The sequence below is a fragment of the Homo sapiens genome, chromosome 2 (assembly GCF_000001405.40).
Source record: "Homo sapiens chromosome 2, GRCh38.p14 Primary Assembly".
Taxonomy (NCBI): domain Eukaryota; kingdom Metazoa; phylum Chordata; class Mammalia; order Primates; family Hominidae; genus Homo; species Homo sapiens.
In genome coordinates this window covers 26,432,827-26,453,248 of record NC_000002.12, presented here as the reverse complement: position 1 = coordinate 26,453,248, position 20,422 = coordinate 26,432,827, and the positions used below count along the sequence as shown (strand labels likewise).

The window sequence follows — 20,422 nt, the reverse complement described above, 5'->3', positions numbered from 1 at the left end:
AAGAAAAACCAGAAAAGTTTACAGAAAGTGACAGCTTGCCCAGGGAGACATTTACACAGGGACAGAAACAGGAGAAAGAGTGGGAAGAAGGGGGATGGGATGGGGAGAGGCACTAGGAGGCTACGAGAAAATGGAAAGGTTCTGTTTCTAAATCCGGGCTCCTAGGTGCTCACCTTACTGACATTCATAAAGCTTACATGTTAGAAATCTTCTTTTGAATCATAATACAGATTAAATTTTTGCTTTAATTGTTAAATTTAAAAGGTCTTCCTCCTACTCCTATTTTGCAGTTCATGCAATTGACCTCCCACAGGCAAACGAATGCTATCAAGTTTCCTATGGTTCCTTCCAAGGAAATAGTATGTCTATATAATGTTTATATATAAATACATGCGCATACCTTTCCATATATACTCCTCCTTCTCGTTTTGACATCAATGATACTATACTACAAATAGAGTTCTGTAGTTTGCTTTTACACTTACCAATAAACCTTAGGTACCTTTTCATGTGAATACATAAAGAACTTTGGTTTTTTCCCACAGTTTTATAGTACCCCATCGTGTAGACATACCATATATTATTAAATAGATTCCTCAACAATGGACATATAGGTTGTTTCGAATCTTCTGCCATTTCAAACAATGTACAGTGAATCAGCTACAATAAATACACCATTTCAACTGTAATGAGATATATTTAGAGAATAAAATCCTAGAAGAAGAATTTCAGAGGCCAAGGTGGGCAGATCATTTGAGGTCAGGAGTTCGAGAGCAGCCTGGCCAACATGGTGAAACCACATCTCTACTAAAAATACAAAAATTAGCCGGGCGTGGTGGCAGGTGCCTGTAATCAATCCCAGCTACTCAGGAGGCTGAGGCAGGAGAATGGCTTGAACCTGGGAGATGGAGGTTGTAGTGAGCCGAGATCGTGCCACTGCACTCCAGCCTGGGCAACAGAGTGAGACTCTGTCTCAAAAAAAAGAAGAAGAATTTCAGAGTAAAATGTATATAGTTTTGTAATTGATACTGCCAAACTGTCCTCAATGGAGGTTACAATTTATACTCCTACCAGTAACTTATGAGTGTGCCTGTTTTCTACACCTCAGTCATCGCTATGTTATACTTGCTGTGTTATCAAGCTTTTTTTTTTTTTGCGCCAACATAACAGGTTGGCAAAATGGAAATCAGCCATTTTAATTTGCATTTCTCTTATTACAAGGAAGGCTGATTGTCTTTTCATATGTTTAAGAGTTACCTGTATTGCCTCTTCTAGGAGTTGTTCATTCATATTTGTTATCTGTTCCTTTTGTTGGTCTTTTTCTTATTGATTTCAGAGAGCTCTTTATATATTAAGGAAATGCCTTAACTATGATATGAGTTGAAAATATTTCTCTGCAGCTTGTCATTCATCTCTTAACTTTGCTTATCATGATTTTTGCACTACAGAATTGTTTTTAAATTCTGTAGTCAAATATAGCTTTTATTCCCTTTATGGCTTTGTGGTTTTGTCCATTTCTGCCAGCTCTTTTTTTCTTTTCTCTTTTTTTTCCCTTAGAGACAGTGTCTCACACTCTGTCACCCAGGCTGAAATGCAGTGGTGAAATCATGGCTCACTGCAGCCTCAACCTCATCATGGCTCACTGCAGCCTCAACCTTCTGGGCTAAACTGAGCCTCCCAAGTAGCTGGAACTATAGGCATGAGCCACTGTGCCTAGCCCAGCCAACTCTTTTTACAGGCATGTCAGGATACTCAGCTTTGGGCTAGCAGTACTAAAAACATTTTTCATTCACATTTTTCATTTTTAAATTAAAATGTTATATGACTTTTAATATGGCATCTTCTTTAAAATAGTTAATATTTGATTCACCTTCTGAAATCAATTACAATCAAGATATGTAGGACAAATGGGCCTTGCCTTGCGGGAAAGTGTTAAGGATCAAAATATTCAGAACCTGGTGGGCTCTGGTCTCACAGTGGCTGAGACCTGGTTTTGAGGGAGGGTGCAGGAAAAGATTGCTTGGGCCTCAGTATAAGAACAGCATCTCACCCCCAAGCCATTCTTCCCTTTACAAAGAGACAAATTGATAAACAATAAGGGAAATGCTAAGTTAGCTATACCTGACATAAAAGCCCCGCTATTTCTCCAGAAGTGCTACTCAAAGACAGCACTGTGCTCTGGGGGCTTCGGGACAATTGAAAATGCAGGGACATGGATGAAGCTGGAAACCATCATTCCCAGCAAACGATCACAAGATCAGAAAACCAAACACCGCATGTTCTCACTCATAAATGGGAGTTGAACAATGAGAACACATGGACACAGGGAGGGAAACATAACACACCGGGGCCTGTCGGGGGGTGGGGGCTAGGGGAGGGATAACATTAGGAGAAATACCTAATGTAGGTGATGGGTTGATGGGTGCAGCAAACCACCAGAGCACATGTATACCTATGTAACAAACCTGCATGTTCTGCACATGTAACCCAGAACTTAAAGTATAATAAAATAAATAAATAAATAAGAAAGAAAGAAAATGCTTTCTTCTCTCTGCACCTTGCCTTACCTGGAGGCTGGAAGATAAACGGTGAGCTCGATATTTAAGGAAGAAGTTCACCAGTTTATACAAGTCATCCTCACTTTCAATTCCAAGGGCCTGGGGCGAAAAACAGGATGGTTGCTCAAACACCCCATCAAGAGGCCACGGGCTTGGGCAGCTGACAGATGCTCAGCTCCTAAGAGCGGGAGGCTTGGCTTGTGGAGGGCATTCATCCAACGCTGGGAAGCGACTGTGAACTTGGGGACACACACATCAGAACACACGGAAACAATGCTCATAGAGCCAGGAGCTGCTCCATATGGATCCCATGGCTGTGAGGATGCCTAGTGGGGCTGCACCAGATTTGAGTTTGGGGGTGTCAGGGAGAACCTACAACCTGAGAGGAAGATGCTAGTAGAGGAAGAGGCAGGGGTGGGAGACACTGCAGTGAGTCTGAGACCAATGTGTTGTGTGGAGAGTAGGTTAAGGGAAGGATGTGACAGGGAGCAGGGGAAGCCCCGGGAGACCCTCGTCCACTGCCAGGGTTGAGGCAATGGCAGGGCCATCTGAGAACACGGCCGGCTGCAGCCCCACCCGTGTCCTCCCAGCCCCGTTGGACTCACGGAGAAGATGGCATCCAGCCTCAGCAGATAGCATTCATTCTGCTCCAGGGGCAGGAGAAGGCTCAGCAGCTTGCTCTCTATGAGGAACCCCTGGGGAGAAGGAAGAAGGCATCTCCTGTCGGGGACAGGTTTCAGGAGCGAGTCCCAGGGTCTGCAGCTGCCCCCTGTGTAACACTCCAGGGACCATGCCACGGAGCAGACGCCCAGGGATGGGAGCCAGCAGTGGGCCCCAGCAAAGCCTTCTTGGGGTGCCCATGAACGCCCCCCTCCCCAGGGAGCAAGGCCAGAGACAAGCAAGGCCAGGGACAAAGCCCATCCTCACCACAGACTTAGCTTTTCCCACCCAGAAGGGCACCAACCCACCTCACCCACAAGCCACTAGGCAAACTCCTGAGGCCCCCACCACAGTCCAAAGCTGACCCAGTCACAGGCTCCTGCTTCACCCATAGTCTTGTCCCCAAATATCTACAGAACACAGCAGCAGGACAGGGAGGCATGGAAAGCAGTGGGCACCCCAAACCAAAACACAGCACACATGCGGTGGAAGGGAGAGGGCGGCTGAGCAGATGCGGTGCCCGCTCTGAGCTGGGATGCCTGGGGGAGAGCTCCATGGGGAGGTGGCCTCTGCATCCAGCTGCAGGTTCAGAGGGCAGAACCTGCCACCTGACCCCTTCAGCAGCAGCTGCCCTCAGTGGCAAGAGCCAGCCAAAGGCAACTGCCCTCACTATCCTAAAAGAATACCCACTTCAGAACCGTAAGATCCAAACAAACACTGCCCATGTTTGACCACAACCCAACCTCCAGCTGAACCAGCTCAATGCAGCTTTTATTCTAAGGCTAATCATGTTTGCTAACATACAATGCAGACATCCAAATCCCAACATAGCCAGAGTCACCCCCAAAACAAGCCCCTGAGAAGGGCCATGTCAGTGTGGCCACATCACTTAGCAAGTTGGTTCATGGAGGTGAGCTGGTGCAACTTCTGTCTCAGAAGCAGCATCATTTTAAGCTGGCAGGAGCCCTCCAGCTGGCCTAAACTATGCCATGCTGGCCAACCAAGGTTAGACCCATTTTCCAGCTGGGCCAGCTCAGAGGCAAGGCCTCTATGAACCGGCCCTGAAGTCCAGGGGCCATCCTGACTCTGCTCCTCAGGGCCCAACCCTGGGCTTGGCCAGGGGAGGACTGGCCCACTCCTGACTCCAGGCTAGCACTGGCCCAGCAGAGGCCTCAGAACCTGCACACCCCCGTGAGTCCCTCTGCTGCAGCCCCCGCCTGGCCTCACCGACTCGTCACACAGGAGCATCAGGATCCTCTTGGTAGTTTTTTCAGAAATTTGCTTCGGCAAATCCAGGTAGGACTCTGGTTCCGCGGCGGCCTCTTCTGCCTCCTCCTCTTCTGCAGTTGGGTCATGGGGAGGAGAGAGAAAGAAAAAGAAGATAATTTCTGGAGCTAGTTGACTCTGAGAAACAGTCAGATGGCTTTCCTTGAGAAAATGTACCTCTTAAAAAGCCTCTGTGAGGCATTCTCTCAGTCTCTTTATGATGAAAAAAGCCTATTACGTGGCGGGAAGGCGGGCTAGGGGGTCGGAATCAGAGACTACCTGGAGAACTCGGCCATTCCCAGCCAGCCTGTAATGCCCTACTTTTCCAAATTGCGTCTACCTGGAAACATCATACTCAAAATCCAGCCATGAACCAGGAAGTGGGAGGGAGAGTGTGAGCCCATTTATTCTTATTTCAGAGATGATCTAGCAAGTGGCTATATAGTCTCTAAACCTGCAACAGATTAGACAGAAGCAGCCAACTCAAAGCAGGGGCAGGTGGCTTTGCACATTCACAGATAATTTTTTTTTTTTTTTTTTGAGATGGAGTCTTGCTCTGTCACCCAGGCTGGAGTGCAGTGGTGTGATCTCAGCTCACTGCAACCTCCGCCTCCTGGGTTCAAGTGATTCTCCTCCCTCAGCCTCCCAAGTAGCTGGGATTACAGACACCCACCGCGACACCTGGCTAATTTCTGTGTTTTTCGTAGAGATGGGGTTTTGCCACATTGGCCAGGCTGGTCTCGAACTCCTGAACTCAAGTGATCTGCCTGCCTCGGCCTCCCAAAGTGCTGAGATTACAGGCATGAGCCACGGCGCCTGGTCCAGAGAAATATTAACAGCAAGAACTGACAGCTGACAGCAAGAGCCAAAAATTTTCTTAATTAAAATTAACTTCTTAGGCCAGGCGTGGTGGCTCATGCCTGTAATCCCAGCACTTTGGGAGGCTGAGGCAGGTGGATCACTTGAGGTCAGGAGTTTGAGACCAGCCTGGCCAACATGGCAAAACCCCGTCTCTACTAAAAATACAAAAATTAGCTGGGCATGGTGGCACGCACCTGTAATCCCAGCTACTCAGGAGGCTGAGGCAGGAGAATCGCTTGAACCCAGGAGGTGGAGGTTGCAGTGAGCCAAGACTGCACCACTGCACTCCAGCCTGGGCAACAGAGTGAGACTGTCTCAAAAAGACAAAAATAAAACAAACGAACAAAAAACATAATTAAATTGTAAAAAACCATTCCCTAATAATCAAAAGCAAAACGAAACAAAAATACCTATATGTGTATCAAGCTGGTGATATAACCACACAGAAACTATTCCAAGTGCATTTATTTTTATTTATTTGTTTATTTATTGAGACAGAGTCTCGCTCTGTCACCCAGGCTGCAGTGCAGTGGCATAATCTCGGCTGACTGCAACCTCCACCTCCCGGGTTCAAGTGATTCTCCTGCCTCAGCCTCCTGAGTAGCTGGAATTACAGCCGCGCGCCACCATGCCCGGCTAATTTTTGTATTTTTAGTAGAGACAGGGTTTCACCATGTTGGTCAGGCTGGTCTCAAACTCCTGACCTCATGATCCGCCCATCTTGGCCTCCCAAAGTGCTGGGATGACAGGCATGAGCCACCGCACCCGGCCTATTTTTATTTTTTTTTTAATTTTTATTATTTTTTATTTTTTTGAGAAAGAGGCTCACTCTGTTGCTCATCCTGGAGTGCAGTGGTGCAATCTTGGCTCACTACAACCTCCACCTCCCGGGTTCAAGCGATTCTCCTGCCTCAGCCTCCTGAGTAGCTGGGATTACAGGCGCACGCCATGACCGGCTAATTTTTTGTATTTTTAGTAGAGACAGGTTTTCGCCATGTTGGCCAGGCTGGTCTCGAATTCCTGACCTCAGGTGATCTGCGCGCCTTGGCCTCCCAAAGTGCTGGGATTACAGGGGTGAGCCATCGCACCTGGCTCCAGGTGACTTTAAAATATAGCAATCTGTCTGTACATCCCTGGAGGGACACATTTTAAGAATAAAAGGAACCATAAAACAGTGTAAACTGTCTTTAGTAATCATTTGTTGGTGGCAGGGCTGATATTTTCCTCTGAGGCAGTTCTGTGGTGCTGTGGGGAAGGCATGTGATTCATTATTTTGAAGTCACTGAGCACTAAGATTTTAAAGTTGGAAGAAAGGGGATACACTTTGATACTGTTAAATAAAAATCCTGGCATCCTGTTGATGAGGAGGTATTAGAATGAACTCATGATTTATTTTATTACCAAAAAAAAGAAATCCTATACTCTCAGCTCTGTCCACTGAAAAGGCCTAGAAACAATGGCCAATCCAAAACAATAAGCACCCAGCGCCCACAGCGTGGTTTCTAAATACCATTCCCTGGGCATGCATGGTGACACAAGCCTGTAATCCCAGCACTCTGGGAAGGAATCGCTTGAGCCCAGGATTTGAGACCAGCCTGGGCAACATGGCAAATCCATGTCTCTACAAAAAAATACAAAAATTAGCTGGGCATTGTGGCATGAGTCTTTGGTCCCAGCTACTCGGGAGGCAGAGGTGGGAGGATTGCTGAAGCCTTGGCGGCAGAGGTTGCAGTGAGCCGAGATCCCACCACTGCCCTCCAGCCTGGGCGACAGAGTGAGACCATCTCAAAAAAAAAAAAAAAAAAAAAATTCCCTATTTGAAAGGACCAGGGGATCCTTGGAGAAATGGCTGATTCCAGACAAGAGGCAGGAAAAGTATAATGTGTGCCTTGAACACCTGGTCATCCTGGAGAGCCAGGACGCTGTTAAAAAAAACTACTAGGGCTAGCCAAGCGTGGTGGCTCACACTTGTAATTCCAGCCTTTTGGGAGGCTGAGTTGGGGGGATCACGGGCTCAGGAGATGGAGACCATCCTGGCCAATATGGTGAAACCCTGTCTCTACTAAAAATAAACAAAATTAGCCAGGTGTGGCAGTGCGCACCTGTAGTCCCAGCTCCTCGGGAGGCTGAGGCAGGGGAATTGCTTGAACCCGGGAGGCGGAGGTTGCAGTGAGCCCAGATCGCGCCACTGCAATCCAGCCTGGCAACAGAGCGAGACTCTGTCTCAAAAATAAATAAATAAATAAATAAATAACTACTAGGGCTGAATCAAAAGGACCCAGAAGCCAATATGAAGATTTCCACTAGCCAAAGATGGAACAATTTGAGCCTCAATAAGGATAATTACTTTAGTAAACTAAAATACATCAAATTTGTTTAAACTCATGCATTCATAATATTTTTTAAAAACTCATTGGTACCTTTGGAAGATGCTAGAGGCCCAACCCATTATTTTGAAAACTGGTAAACAGAGAAAAAATAAGCATCTATCCTGCTTTTCATATACAGACTATCTCAGGGTAGCAAATTGCTGAGGAAGGGAAGATTTTCTTTTAAGAAGTATTCTGTTAAATAAAGACACAAGAACAGAATCTAACATATCACCATTTTGCAATCCCTAATACAGTTAATGGATCTTAGACAATGATTAGCAATGGTTGCTAACATCACAAAAAGGGAGACAATTTAACATTAGTTTATCCCGATGGAGGTACTACACAATAGTGTACTTAGCAAAAATAAATTGGACCTGCATCTGATCAAGCTTCTAGACCTAACTGCCAGTTTATAATACAGGAGAGAGAGCAAAGCTATAAATTAGAGGAGACTTAAAAGCGATACCAATAATCATACTCTTCCCCCTCCTCCCTAGACTATCTCTAACGTGACTGGCTTGACCCGATGTTCTCAGGGGGCTCCTCCAGCTCTAAGGCTCTATGACAGTGTTCTAGTCACCTGAGCGCATAAGCATTTCTTCTACTATCTGTGTGGCGGACTTCTGGGGCTGCTGAGAAATAGGCCCAACATTGTTCAGGAACCAGAAATCAGGTGCTGCCCAGGGAAGCCCCAGATGATGGGTGTGGATGATCCTGTCCACATCAAAGGCTCTGGCTATTAGGTCCTTCGCCTCCTCTTCATTCATCAGCCAAATCTCCCAAAACTTCTCATCATCAATAAGAGCAAAATGCCTGTGAAGGAGAGTCACAGAGCATGGCCAGCTGGCCCCAGGACCTGGCCAGGGTCCCCTCAAATAGCAGCAGGGCAGGAATATGAAAAGGAGCTGTGCTAATTCCTGGGCCTGGCCCCATCCCTGGGCGGCTGATTCCCACTTACGATAAACTGGAAGCCATCCCAACACATCTCAAGAAAAGGCAGGTGACACGCAAGTGAAGGGCCAGGGGAACACACCACAAAAGGTTAACTAGTGCCTGGTCCAGCCCCAGAATAGCTGGTGACATCAAGTCCAACGAAATCACAGCTTGTACAAACTCCATCCCCGTCACCTCTATGCTAGGACAAGTGCCTTAGGACCAAGTCCTTAAGATACCTCATGGCTTTCTGTAGCTCCTTGAATTGCATCACAAGACGTTTGTAGTCCGAGGTTAGAGACTGGTTCTCCTCCTGAAACTGCTTTATTTGCTTGGCATATTTTGATCTCAGATTGTTAAGTATATCATGCAGGCTGGTTGAAGGAGAAAAAGGTTAGTCTGCAGCTGAATAGAAGGTATTATGTATGTTCCTCTCATCCACCTGATTCAGCTCTACCACAAACCCAGGAGCAGATCTGTGGAAGAGCAGAAAACCCTCCCATATATTCCAAAACACAGATCCCATTTTGATCAACAAAAGGAAGGCAACAGGAGATCTTGGGACAGTCCAAAACGAAACGCATTGAAAACAATCCAGAGCCCATTCCCACCAAGAGGCAGCCTCCTACTCAAGACTGTGGACAGAACCTACTTCACAATACATCATTTGTCAGAATGCCCATACCCATACCTAGGGCCAGCCTCACATATTTAAATAATCTATCTCAACGATTTCATTGTCATGACTTGGATGTTTAATTCAATCATGAAGCAAGAAAATTTTAAAGAAAAAAAATGCATATCACAAAAGCCTATGATACATAAATCTTCCAGCCTCAAAGAGCTGATACCGTTAACAGGTCCAGTAACTCATTCATTCATTCATTTATTCACTCATCCACGTATTCATTAAACAAACATGAAATGCCACTTTTGCGCAAGGATATGTTGAAAGACAAAGATGAATACAAAGATACGTTTCAATACAAGGTACTATCAGTCTAGTCAAAAACAAAGACAAACGTTAATTACAGTACAGCGTGGAAAGTGCTATAGGAGAGTTTTATGCAGGGTGCCAGGGGAGCCCAGAGGTGAGGCATCTAACTTACCCAGGCTTGCAGGGGAGGGGGTGGTCCAAAATTTCCAGAATAGCAAGAGGCAGTTAAAACCTGTCCAATAGCACTGTGAATCCAGGCACGGCACAGCTCACCATCTCACTGCTAACAGGAGCTCTGTGCATGGAAACTCGGCCCATAAAATATGCATGGCAGGCGCAATGTTTAGACCCAGGCCCATACTTCAGACTTCAAACTACTACAGAGGTGGCTCTTATCAGTGCCCCATTCACACAGTAACAGAGAAGCTGAAGGCCAACATATTTTAAGTTTAGAAATTCTAAAAATAAGATTTTCCCTCTCCTAAGCATTATTCTGAAATGATCAAAATGTCTCTCAAATGCAAACATTCATCATTCATATTTTCATCATCAAGAAAATGCAAAAAAAGTCGTTACCTTAGTCTCTGATAGAAAGAAACAGCTAACCCATTTCCTTAACTACAGCCTTCAAGGAGGCTTTCCAAGCACAGATGTAAAAATAAGTAGTCATTCCAAAGTGTTTTTTCCCAATGTCATGCAGTAAAGGAGTTCCTATGTGTCATCTAATTACCGAAGCTAACAAAACAAACTCCAGGTGCATACTGAAGGTCTGGGCAAGATAGCAGGCGAGGAAGTGAACAGGGAAGAATGGCTGCAAGAGGAAGCTCAACAAAAAAAGTCCAGAGTTCTTAGTGCCTGGAAGCTAGAGATGCAGGGGAGTGAGGCTGGAGAACTGGAAACAGGGAGCAGAGGCAAGTCTGGTTTCAGAAACTGTGCCCTGGAAATGACAGGGCCTCTCCAAGCTGAACTGTTACGTTGGCAGTTCCAGGTAAATGAAAGGTGAGCTCAGGATTGGGGATATGAGGTTGGCAGTCATCAACAAAAAGGGGATATTCAAAACCATGAGACTGAGGTATGTGGCAGATGAAATAAAAATTAAAAGCAATGGTAAGGCCTGGATTTTCTAGATTGTCTTATCTAGATACTCAAGACATATCAAGCAAGGAAAAGCAGAACCACCAAAGGAAACAAATACATTAAGAAAGAAGAGCAAATATTTTAGGGTCATTTAAACCAAAGAAGAAAATCCAGTATCCAATCATAATAGATGAGGCCTGAGGAGAAGCCACTGCGCTTGGCTAGAAGGGCATCATCAGTATCCTACTGTGGGAAGTTTTTGTCCAATCCTGGGGTCATAGGTTGCTACGGCTTGAATGTAACTCCTCCAAAATTCAGTGTTGTCAATGTGATAATATTAAGAGGCAGGACCTTTAAGAGGTAATGAGGCCATAAGGCCTCCTCCATCATGAATGGGATTATGGGATTAAGGCCTTTATAAAAGAGGCCTCCCAAAGCCTTAGGCCAGCTTGCTCTCCCGCTCTTCTACTGTGTGAGGACACAGCATCCCTCCCCTCTGAAAGATGCAGCCCTCACTAGAAACTAAACCTGCCAGCCTTGATCTTGGCCTTCCCAGACTCCAGAACTGTGAGAAATAAACTTTTGCCTTTGTAAATTATCCAGTCTCAGGTAGTCTGTTAGAGCAGCACAAACAGATATGTCAAATTGTGAAATGCTGGGTGGTGGTGAGCAGGAAAGGAAAATGGCAATGAAAGCAAGAGACGAAAAGATGGTGCTTAGAAACAGCAGGGTCCGTTGAAGGGTTTTTCAGGCTGAGGGAAAGCTGTCTGAGTTTGAAATAAGAGGGAAGATTCCACTCATCTCTCAGCCACACGCATCAAACCCAAGCTCTGCCTCAAGCGCCTCCTCCCGCCTCCTACCTTACCCATTCTCTTCACCCACTGTGTGACTTTCTGAATCCTACCTCCTTGCCTTCAGACCAGCCATTCCCAGCTGCCAGCACTGTCCACCTGGAGTCTCCTCTTAACTGCTTTTTGCCAATTCATGTCCCCACCCCCTCCAGTATTTCACTTCTTTGGGAAGCTTTCCCAGGTGCCTCCTCACTGTATTGATGTGTGCCTTTCTTGGATGTTCTGCTATCTAGTACGGTGCATATATAGTGGGAATTTTTTCATAAATATTGTCCCCTGTCTATTCTTATTTCTCAGATAATCAGGCTTAAGATGCCATCCCATTTATTCAGTATCATTTTCTGTAATAAGTAACTACCAAAAGGTCAACTGATGTTCCTCTATACATTCAACATGTGTCCAAAATGTATGTATTACCAACCTACAAGTGGAATTAATTCCTAAATAATAATAGGCTATTTGGGGTTTGGAGGGAAATCCCCAATCTTGTCTCCTTCCACAAGCAAGAAGTCTTATTTCACTCTGGTCCTCAGAGCCTAGCACAATGGTCTGAAACTTAGAATGCAATTCTTAAAGGAAGAAAGGCAGGAAGGATAGGAGTAAGGAGATGAGGAAGAAGGGAAGGATGTATGAGAAATTTCAAGCAATAGGTACCTTTCAGTGAGCCACGGTATCTCCACAAAAGCAAACTGGCACATGTCATGAGTACTTAGGTTGGTATTATTTGCAAGAGGAAAAGGTTGGAAGCAATCTACATGTCCATCATTAGAGACTGGTCAAATAAATCATAGTGCATCTATGCAGTGGGTAGTAAGCAGCTTAAGAAACTGTGAAAGCTCTCTATGAACTGGGATGGAAAGGCCTTCAAGATATACAGGAGTGTGTACAGACTGCCATCATTTATGTAAAAGCAGATGGGGGATGAGAATATTTGTGTGGGCTTGTATATGCCTAATGAAATTCTGGAAGAGACAAACAAATAATGGTTACAGAGGTAGGAAAGAGGAACAAGATGAATGGGGACGGAAGATCTTTTGCTATGTACTCTTTTCTTGGGGAGAGATTGAATGTATTAACTTTTCCAAAAAACTATTTTAATAAGTGTTGGTTATATTTTTAATGGTTTCTACCCCTTCAATAGAAAAAAGTACATATCCATCCCTATTCTCAGCACAGAAGGCCCAGAAGAAAGACGCTCTGCATGCTAGCTTACCGATTGATCTTCCTCTTCTGCTGGGATTTAATTACTGTGCTTTCTTCATCTCTCTTCTTCAGCACCTGCAAGTTGTACTCTAATTTCTCTTGGTTTAGCTGATAAATTGCTTTCCTCTGCTGAAGCTGCTGCTCAAGAATCTAAAGTTAAAAAAACTATATATATATATATACACACACACACACACACACACACACAAACACACTAACTCTACACCTGCATCCTTAGTATTATATACACTAGAGTATTTAAAATGTCTTTTGGGGAACATGCTTTATATAGGTAAATATTTACATAGACATACTTATATAATCCTGTTTATGTCTGTTTATTTACCTAGCTATGCATAGCCATATTCAGATGTATTCATCTTTGTACCTATATTCATAAAGAATAAAGAGGTAAAAGTATTGGTAGAAATTTATACTGGAAGTAATATAAAAAGAAACTTTCCTACATTTATAAACTTATCTGCTCTGTGAATTATATCTAAAATTGTATGCAAATAAAGGTATGCTCTGAAACACAAATATATATATGTGTGTATATATATATGTGTGTGTGTGTGTATGTGTGTGTGTATATATATATATATTCACACACTAGTTGGCCCTAGCTTGTGGGCCTCTGATAAATTGTTCAAGTCATGTCAGAGGAACCTTAGGGACAAGTGCCTCAGCCTGCATTTTTAGAAAATGTATCATGAGAGTCAAGTTAAAGGCCAACCAGATAAAATACAAGTCAATGAACTATAAGCTAAAATCTGTGTACCTAAAGCCTAAGAGAGATCACACAGCTTTCAAGTCCAAATAACTCTGCTAACTTCCGCCAGACCCTTTAGAGATATGAGTAGCCCCTCTAAAAACACCATAGAAATAAATATGGCCACAAAAACTTGAAATTTCCCCCACTTTGACCTTCCAGGGTAGAAGTGTTAGTGTTTAGCAACCCAGGCTCATTTAAAAGGAGGACAAACACAGTCATCCTTACTTTTTGGATTTCCATTAGCTGTATTCATTCATTCAGCAACTATTTATTGTGTGCCTAATCTATGTCAGATACTTTTCAAGGTGCTGTTGGGAAAACACTAGTGAGAAAGGCATAGTTCTGACCTGTCTAGAACAGAGGCAGATAAACAAACACTAGTGATAAGAAGCAAGATAGAGGGAAGGCCAGACCGTTATGGGACCAATGAGAGGAGCACTGTCCTTGGTCTTGAGGGACCAGGGAAGGGATCCCTGGAAGACGGCGTGTCTAGCTGAGACCTAGAGAATGTGCTGGAGTTACGCAGGTGCCACCTGAAGGGAGAGCGCTCTAGAGAGAGGAAATAGCATATATGAGGCAAGGGGGGTGGGTGCTTTGGGAAAACCACAAGAAGTTTTAGATGTGAGGCACGAGGAAAGGAATGGTCAGAAATGAGGCTGACAGAGCAGCAGAGCCTTCCCAAGCTAGGAATTTAAAGCATTATCCTGAAGTCAATGGAGGGTCACTGAAAATGTTAGGCAGGGAAGGAAAATGGTTGGTCCAGTCACTGTAGAAAGATCACCCTGACAGTTTGTGAAAAAAAGATCAGAGAGAGGCAAGGCTGGAGGCTGGCATGCTCCTGCTTCTCCCGAGTGAAATGCAGGAATGGGGAAGGCAATCAAGTGGAATCAGAAACTCAATAAAACTGCCACGTGTGTGCTATCTCCAGCCTCCATCCCATCTCCCTCTGCTGGACTACAGACTCTGGCCCAGGAATCGACAGAGGAAGTGATTCCAAGTGGCTATCACAGCCTACTCTGGGTCATACTCGAGGAGGGCCCCTGGCTAGGAGGTGACGCTTCACTGGGTCAGGAAGCACATCTTTTCCATGTTTGCTGTGGAATCCGGCGATCCCCACCCACATTGCCACAGAGGGAATTAGTCAAGGATATTCTGCGTCACCATGGCAGAGATTTTTTCATCTCCATTATGAGATGAGTATTTGAATGTCTCCTTCAGAACAGAAGCCTGTAATATCTTTTAACAGATGGTAAATGAAGAACCATATGAGTCCCTGAGATCATAACTAATCCTACCTCTCAATTTCCCTACTTACTTATTTTTTATTTACTTTTTCTAGTTATACATTTTTCTTTGTAAAAACTTTTCCTGAGTGCAAAAGCAATATTTGCTCATTGTAGAAAATTTGGAAAGTACAGCAAATGAAAAAGAAGACATAGGAGAAAGAAGCTGCAAGGCTACTCATAATTCCACCCCCAAAGGCAACTTCTGTTAATGTTGGCGTGTTTCCCTCCACTGTCCTTTACATAGTTGGAATCAAACTGTGTCTACAATTTTATATCCTACTTTCCTCCCTCAATATTACAACAATTTTCCATGTTAGTAAAGTTTTATTAACATCATTTTAATGGTACAGAATCCTTTTTTTTTTTTTTTTTTTTTTTTGAGATAGAGTCTTTCTCGCCCAGGCTGGAGTGCAGTGGCATGATCTCAGCTCACTGCAACCTCCACTTCCCGGGTTCAAATGATTCTCCTGCCTCAGCCTCCCAAATAGCTGGGATTACAGGTGTGTGCCACCGCCACGCCCAGCTAATTTTTGTATTTTTAGTAGAGATGGGGTTTCACCATGTTGGCCAGGCTTGTCTCAAACTCCCGACCTCAGGTGATCTGCCCGCCTTGACTTCCCAAAGTGCTGGGATTACAGGCTAGAATACTTTTATATACTATGCCGCTTCATCATATATGAAATATTTAATATGTTTACCATGTCATAATAATTTACCATTTCCCTACAGTCGTGTGTGTGTGTGTATATATATATAGTTATATATACTTTTAATAATTTTCTCTTCTATAAAATAATGCTGGGACAAATTATATATACAACTCTTAGGGAAATTTATTTCCTTATGGTAGATTCGTAGAAGTGAAATGACTAAGTCAAAAGTTCTCAATAAATTGCTTTCCAAAGAGCAACCTATGGTTTATGCTCCCACTGGCCATGGGTGCAAGTGCCCACCTCACCCCATCCTGTCAGCACTGAGCATCGTGCCGGGCAGACCCTGCAGCTCCAAGTGCAGGCCTGGCCCTTGCGGAGGGAACCTGGGGCAGGGCAGGGAGCTGCCAGAAGCTTCAACTACAACTACAAAGGACCCTTTCTGAGCCTGTTTAAAATTTAATTTTGAAATGTCTGAGTTGAACAGTATCCCAAAGGACCTATGGATGATGCCAACAACAGCACAGCCTCATTTCAATGGCAGTTATCTGGGTGGTCCCAGGCTGAGTTGCTTTGGGCCCTGTCCCCTTCTAGGGATGGCCCTGAGTGTCTCCCAGGAAAGGGATTCTCAGAAGCTCTTCTTGCAAAGTTGCAATGATTTATGCCTCCATTCCTCAAATGAAACCAGCTCTGCCACTTCAAATGTTACCAACCTTGGTCATCGTGAGTGGGTCAGGAATCAGAACACAAACCAAATACACGTGGACTGAACATAAGGGAAGCCATTGGTCTATAAGGCAGCTCGGCACAAAAGTCCAATAGAAAAGCTCCATATGGGATGTAACCATCTGAGAACGTATGAGCACTCACAGAGAAGGAGGGTCTTCGGAACTGCTCTCCATTTGGGATGACAATGAATGGCTGTTCTGTCTTCCCGGGAACTGACCCATGTGGGGGCCCTGAGACCCAGAGTGCCTGAATGTCTACTCCGATGATTTCCAGGAAGCCCTCCTTCTTCTCCTGGCCTTGCAATAATCCCCTATCCCTAAGACAGCATTTCCCAGACTTATTTGGCCATAGGATTGTTTTTATATTTACAATACAACAAGAGCATGTGAACTATAAATGCAAGCTCTACCATATGCATGCTCATGTGAATTTCATTCTTAAAGGCAGGTTATTACATAATAATATGTATATGGATGGCTGGGCATGTTGGCTCATGCCTGTAATCCCAGCACTTTGGGAGACCAAAGAGGGAGGATTGCTTGAGGCCAGGAATTCGAGACCACCCTGGGCAACAAAGTGAGAACCTATCTCTACAAAAAAAAATTTAAATTAGCCAGGCATGGTGGCATGTGCCTGTAGTCCCAGCTATTCGGGAGACTGAGGTGGGAGGTTTGCTTGAGCCTGCTGGGAAGTCGAGGCTGCAGTGAGCCGAGATCATGCCACTGCACTACAGTCTGAGCAACAGAGGAAGACCCTGTCTCCAAAAAATAAAGGGCAGGGGGAGTGGGTGGGCAAAGAACATGAACAACACTTTTCAAAAGAAGGCATACATGCAGCCAACAAACATATGACAAAATGATCAGCATCACTAATCATTAGAGAAATGCTAATCAAAACCACGATGAGATACCATCTCACACCAGTCAGAATGGCTATTATTAAAAAGTGAAAAAAAAAAAAGAAACAGGAGATGCTGGTGAGGTTGCAGAGAAAAAGGAATGCTTACACACTGCTGGAGGGAAGGTAAATTAGTTCAGGCATTGTAGAAAGCAGTGTGGCAATTCCTCAAAGAACGTAAAACGGAGCTACCATTTGACCCAGCAATCTCATTATTGGATATATACCCAAAGGAATATAAATGGTTCTACCACAAAGACACATGCATGCATATGTTCATTGCAGCCTATTCACAATAGCAAAGACATGGAATCAACCTAGATGCCCATCAACGGTAGAATGGATTTTTAAAATGTGGTACGTATACACCATGGAATATTATGCAGCCATAAAAAGAACAACATCATACGGTTTGACATAAAGTTTAAAAAAAAAAAAAGAATGAGAATATGTCCTTTGCAGCAACATAATTGGAGCTGGAGGCTATTATCCTAAGCAAACTAACATAGGAACAGAAAACCAAATACCACATGTTCTCACTATAAGTGGGACCAATGAGAACACATGGACACAAAGAGGGGAACAGTAGACACTGGGGCCCACTTGAGGGTGGAGTTTGGGAGCAGGGAGAGGATCAAAAAACTACCTATCGAGTACTATGCTTATTACCCGGGTAATGAAATAATCTGTACAGCAAACCCCTATGACGTGCAGTTTACCCATATAACAAACCTGCACATGTACCCTGAACCTAAAATAAAAGTTAAAAATACCTGTAATTGATTTTGTTAAATGTCTGTGCTTATTATTCAATTATCCAAAGATATTTTTGCAAAGTTGCAGTTCATGTTCCCAAGACTAATGGCAAAACATGATGTTTGTGTTTTATGAGTCATCAATAAAGATTACAAGCTAACCTGCCACAAAAGTCCTTCTACGGTAAAGGTAGCATAAGTGTTGACAACACCTTCCCTCCTTTTTCCTGGAGCAGCACAAGCTTCTCCACAGCTGCTTTTGGGTGTCATCTCTTGCCCATGGGCTCAGGGAAAGAGACTGCCACCAATGTGCCAGCAGGATGGAAATTTAAAACAGTCTTTCCCTCTGGCCTTCTCTGCTGACTCTAGAGACCCCACTGGGCCTATTTACCACAATCTCGACCCTAAACTGGGCCTGCAGGATTCCATGTTGGAACCCTAAGACTGGCAATGTCATCTCAGGCCACACTGTTGCTCCCCCTTTCTGCCCCATCTCTTTCTCTTTGACACTATTTGTGTAGCTTTCTTTCTTTTTTTTTTTTTTTGAGACGGAGTCTCGCTCTGTCACCCAGGCTGGAGTGCAGTGGTGAAATCTCGGCTGACTGCAAGCTCCGCCTCCCTGGTTCACACCATTCTCCTGCCTCAGCCTACTGAGTAGCTGGGACTACAGGCGCCCGCCACCACACCCGGCTAATTTTTTGTATTTTTAGTAGAGACGTGGTTTCACCATGTTAGCCAGGATGATCTCGATCTCCCGACCTCATGATCCACCTGCCTCGGCCTCCCAAAGTGCTGGGATTACAGGCATGAGCCACCGTGCCTGGCGGTAGCTTGCTTTCTTAATAGATTATAAGTTCCTTGAGGGCAGGAGCTGTACTTTGCTTATCTCTGTGCTTTGCACAATGTAAATTAATATAGTGTAAATAAACAACATATTTAATTTGGGGGGATTAATATTCTGGTTTTAAAGGTAACAGCCCCTAAGTTTAAGCTGAACATCTTACAATCCTAAATGATTGTATAAGGCCTACAGATAAAAACATTTGCTTCCTGCATCAAGAATTAAATGTTTCTAGCAGTTTTCTTTTAGGGTGGTGGGCAGCGGTAGGGAGTTTCCCCCTAAGTACACAATGTTTACAGGCTTCTCTTTGCTCTGTTATTCATAACATGACCTTTACTGGCAGTAAGCACTTGAATAGTAAGACATTTTTTTTTACTTCTTGTACTTTACCCATCATCCAAATCTATGTGTACTGTATCCTTCCTATTTTTGTGGTTTGCAAGAATTTTAGTTCCATATTTTAGAACTGATAGAGTGCTATGCATTAGTTGCAAAGAGCAAATTTGATGTTGAGCTGCATGTTATATCTTCTTAACAAAAATCAGTGCCATTTGGCTTGAATGTCTAGTGAAAATACACTTAAGAGTCACTATGATAAAGTTTAACCTACTAAAACATTCCACATGTTGCCACATGGGTAGTCCCTGATTGGATGATTTTTTTTTTCCCTCTGTTACAGTGTGGAAAGTGGTACAGGTAGCCTCGGTTTCCATCTGACACAGGAAAGAACTAGGACGCAAAGGCTCTGTGACCCCTTTCTGCCTGAAATGTCTCCATCTGCACACATGCCACCATCAGTCAACCTGGACAGGGACAGCCAGTGGTACCAGGTCTCCCAGGCTCCCTGCCTCCCTGCCCACCACTTCTCTGATCTTACCCTACCTCCTACACCCACCCCAGGATCTCCCCATGTCCTAGAATTTTTTGCTTCACTCAAATATTTGGACATTGGATTAAGGACATGAAATTCCATATATCTCACTGAGGCCAACAGTATGTAGTTTTGTCACATAAATTATCACAGAAACAAGATAAATTCAGAAAGCTTAACAATAGCCATTTTCAGTAAAATCATATCACATGTACAGCCCACAGAAATAGTGCTATTGTATTACAGATTTGTAGTGTTCTGTCAGTAACTCTCATTTCTGTGACATTAATATGAGAAGGACCTGGGAAAATTCTCAAGACTGGTAAATATATTTGTAACCCAATGGGGTTTTTAATTTAACTTCATGATATCAAGTAACAGGAAAAGAACTGAAACTCTAACAAAAGCTTCGTGGAAAAGCTTTCATCTAACACCTTTTTCTACATAGAGACTGAAATGAACAGACCATACTTGAATATTAAGATGCAATTACATTACATCTACATGTAATTAGAGATACATTTTTTAGCTGGTATTGTAACAGAATCCTAGGCTTGGAAAAAACTTTAGAAACCAGAAATAACCTCCTACTACTGCAGGAATCCTTCTTCAATACCAAAGACAGACACAGTCATTCAGCCTTTGCATATTTTGAGATAAAGCAATCTTTGTTTTGTGGAACGCCCTTCTGAATATTAGACAGTTCTAGCTCTTAGAAGCTTATTTCTGATAGTCAGAATTTGCCTCACTGAAATTTCCAACCATCAGTCAAGGGGCTGTTTGAAATAAGGGGAAGAATATAGGCTTTTGAGCCAGACAGAATTGGATTTGAATCCAGGGTTTATCGTGTACTAGATATATAGCTTTGTCTCTAAGCTTCAGATTTCTGATGTATAA

General features: G+C 43.9%; 1 protein-coding gene across 2 annotated transcripts in view; it reads right to left on the bottom strand.

The window, feature by feature from the left end:
• DRC1 (dynein regulatory complex subunit 1) overlaps positions 1-20,422 on the bottom strand; it is a 54,792-nt gene that overhangs the window by 3,463 nt on the left and 30,907 nt on the right. Inside the window, exons 8-13 of one of the 2 annotated variants that reach the window (NM_145038.5) lie at positions 12,732-12,871; positions 8,893-9,027; positions 8,301-8,533; positions 4,446-4,558; positions 3,164-3,253; positions 2,568-2,657 (exon numbers count right to left, since the gene is read on the bottom strand). In NM_145038.5, the coding sequence (NP_659475.2) occupies positions 2,568-2,657; positions 3,164-3,253; positions 4,446-4,558; positions 8,301-8,533; positions 8,893-9,027; positions 12,732-12,871 (801 nt within the window). The remainder of the gene's footprint in view (positions 1-2,567; positions 2,658-3,163; positions 3,254-4,445; positions 4,559-8,300; positions 8,534-8,892; positions 9,028-12,731; positions 12,872-20,422) is intronic. The other variant, XM_047446339.1, reaches the window with a different exon arrangement.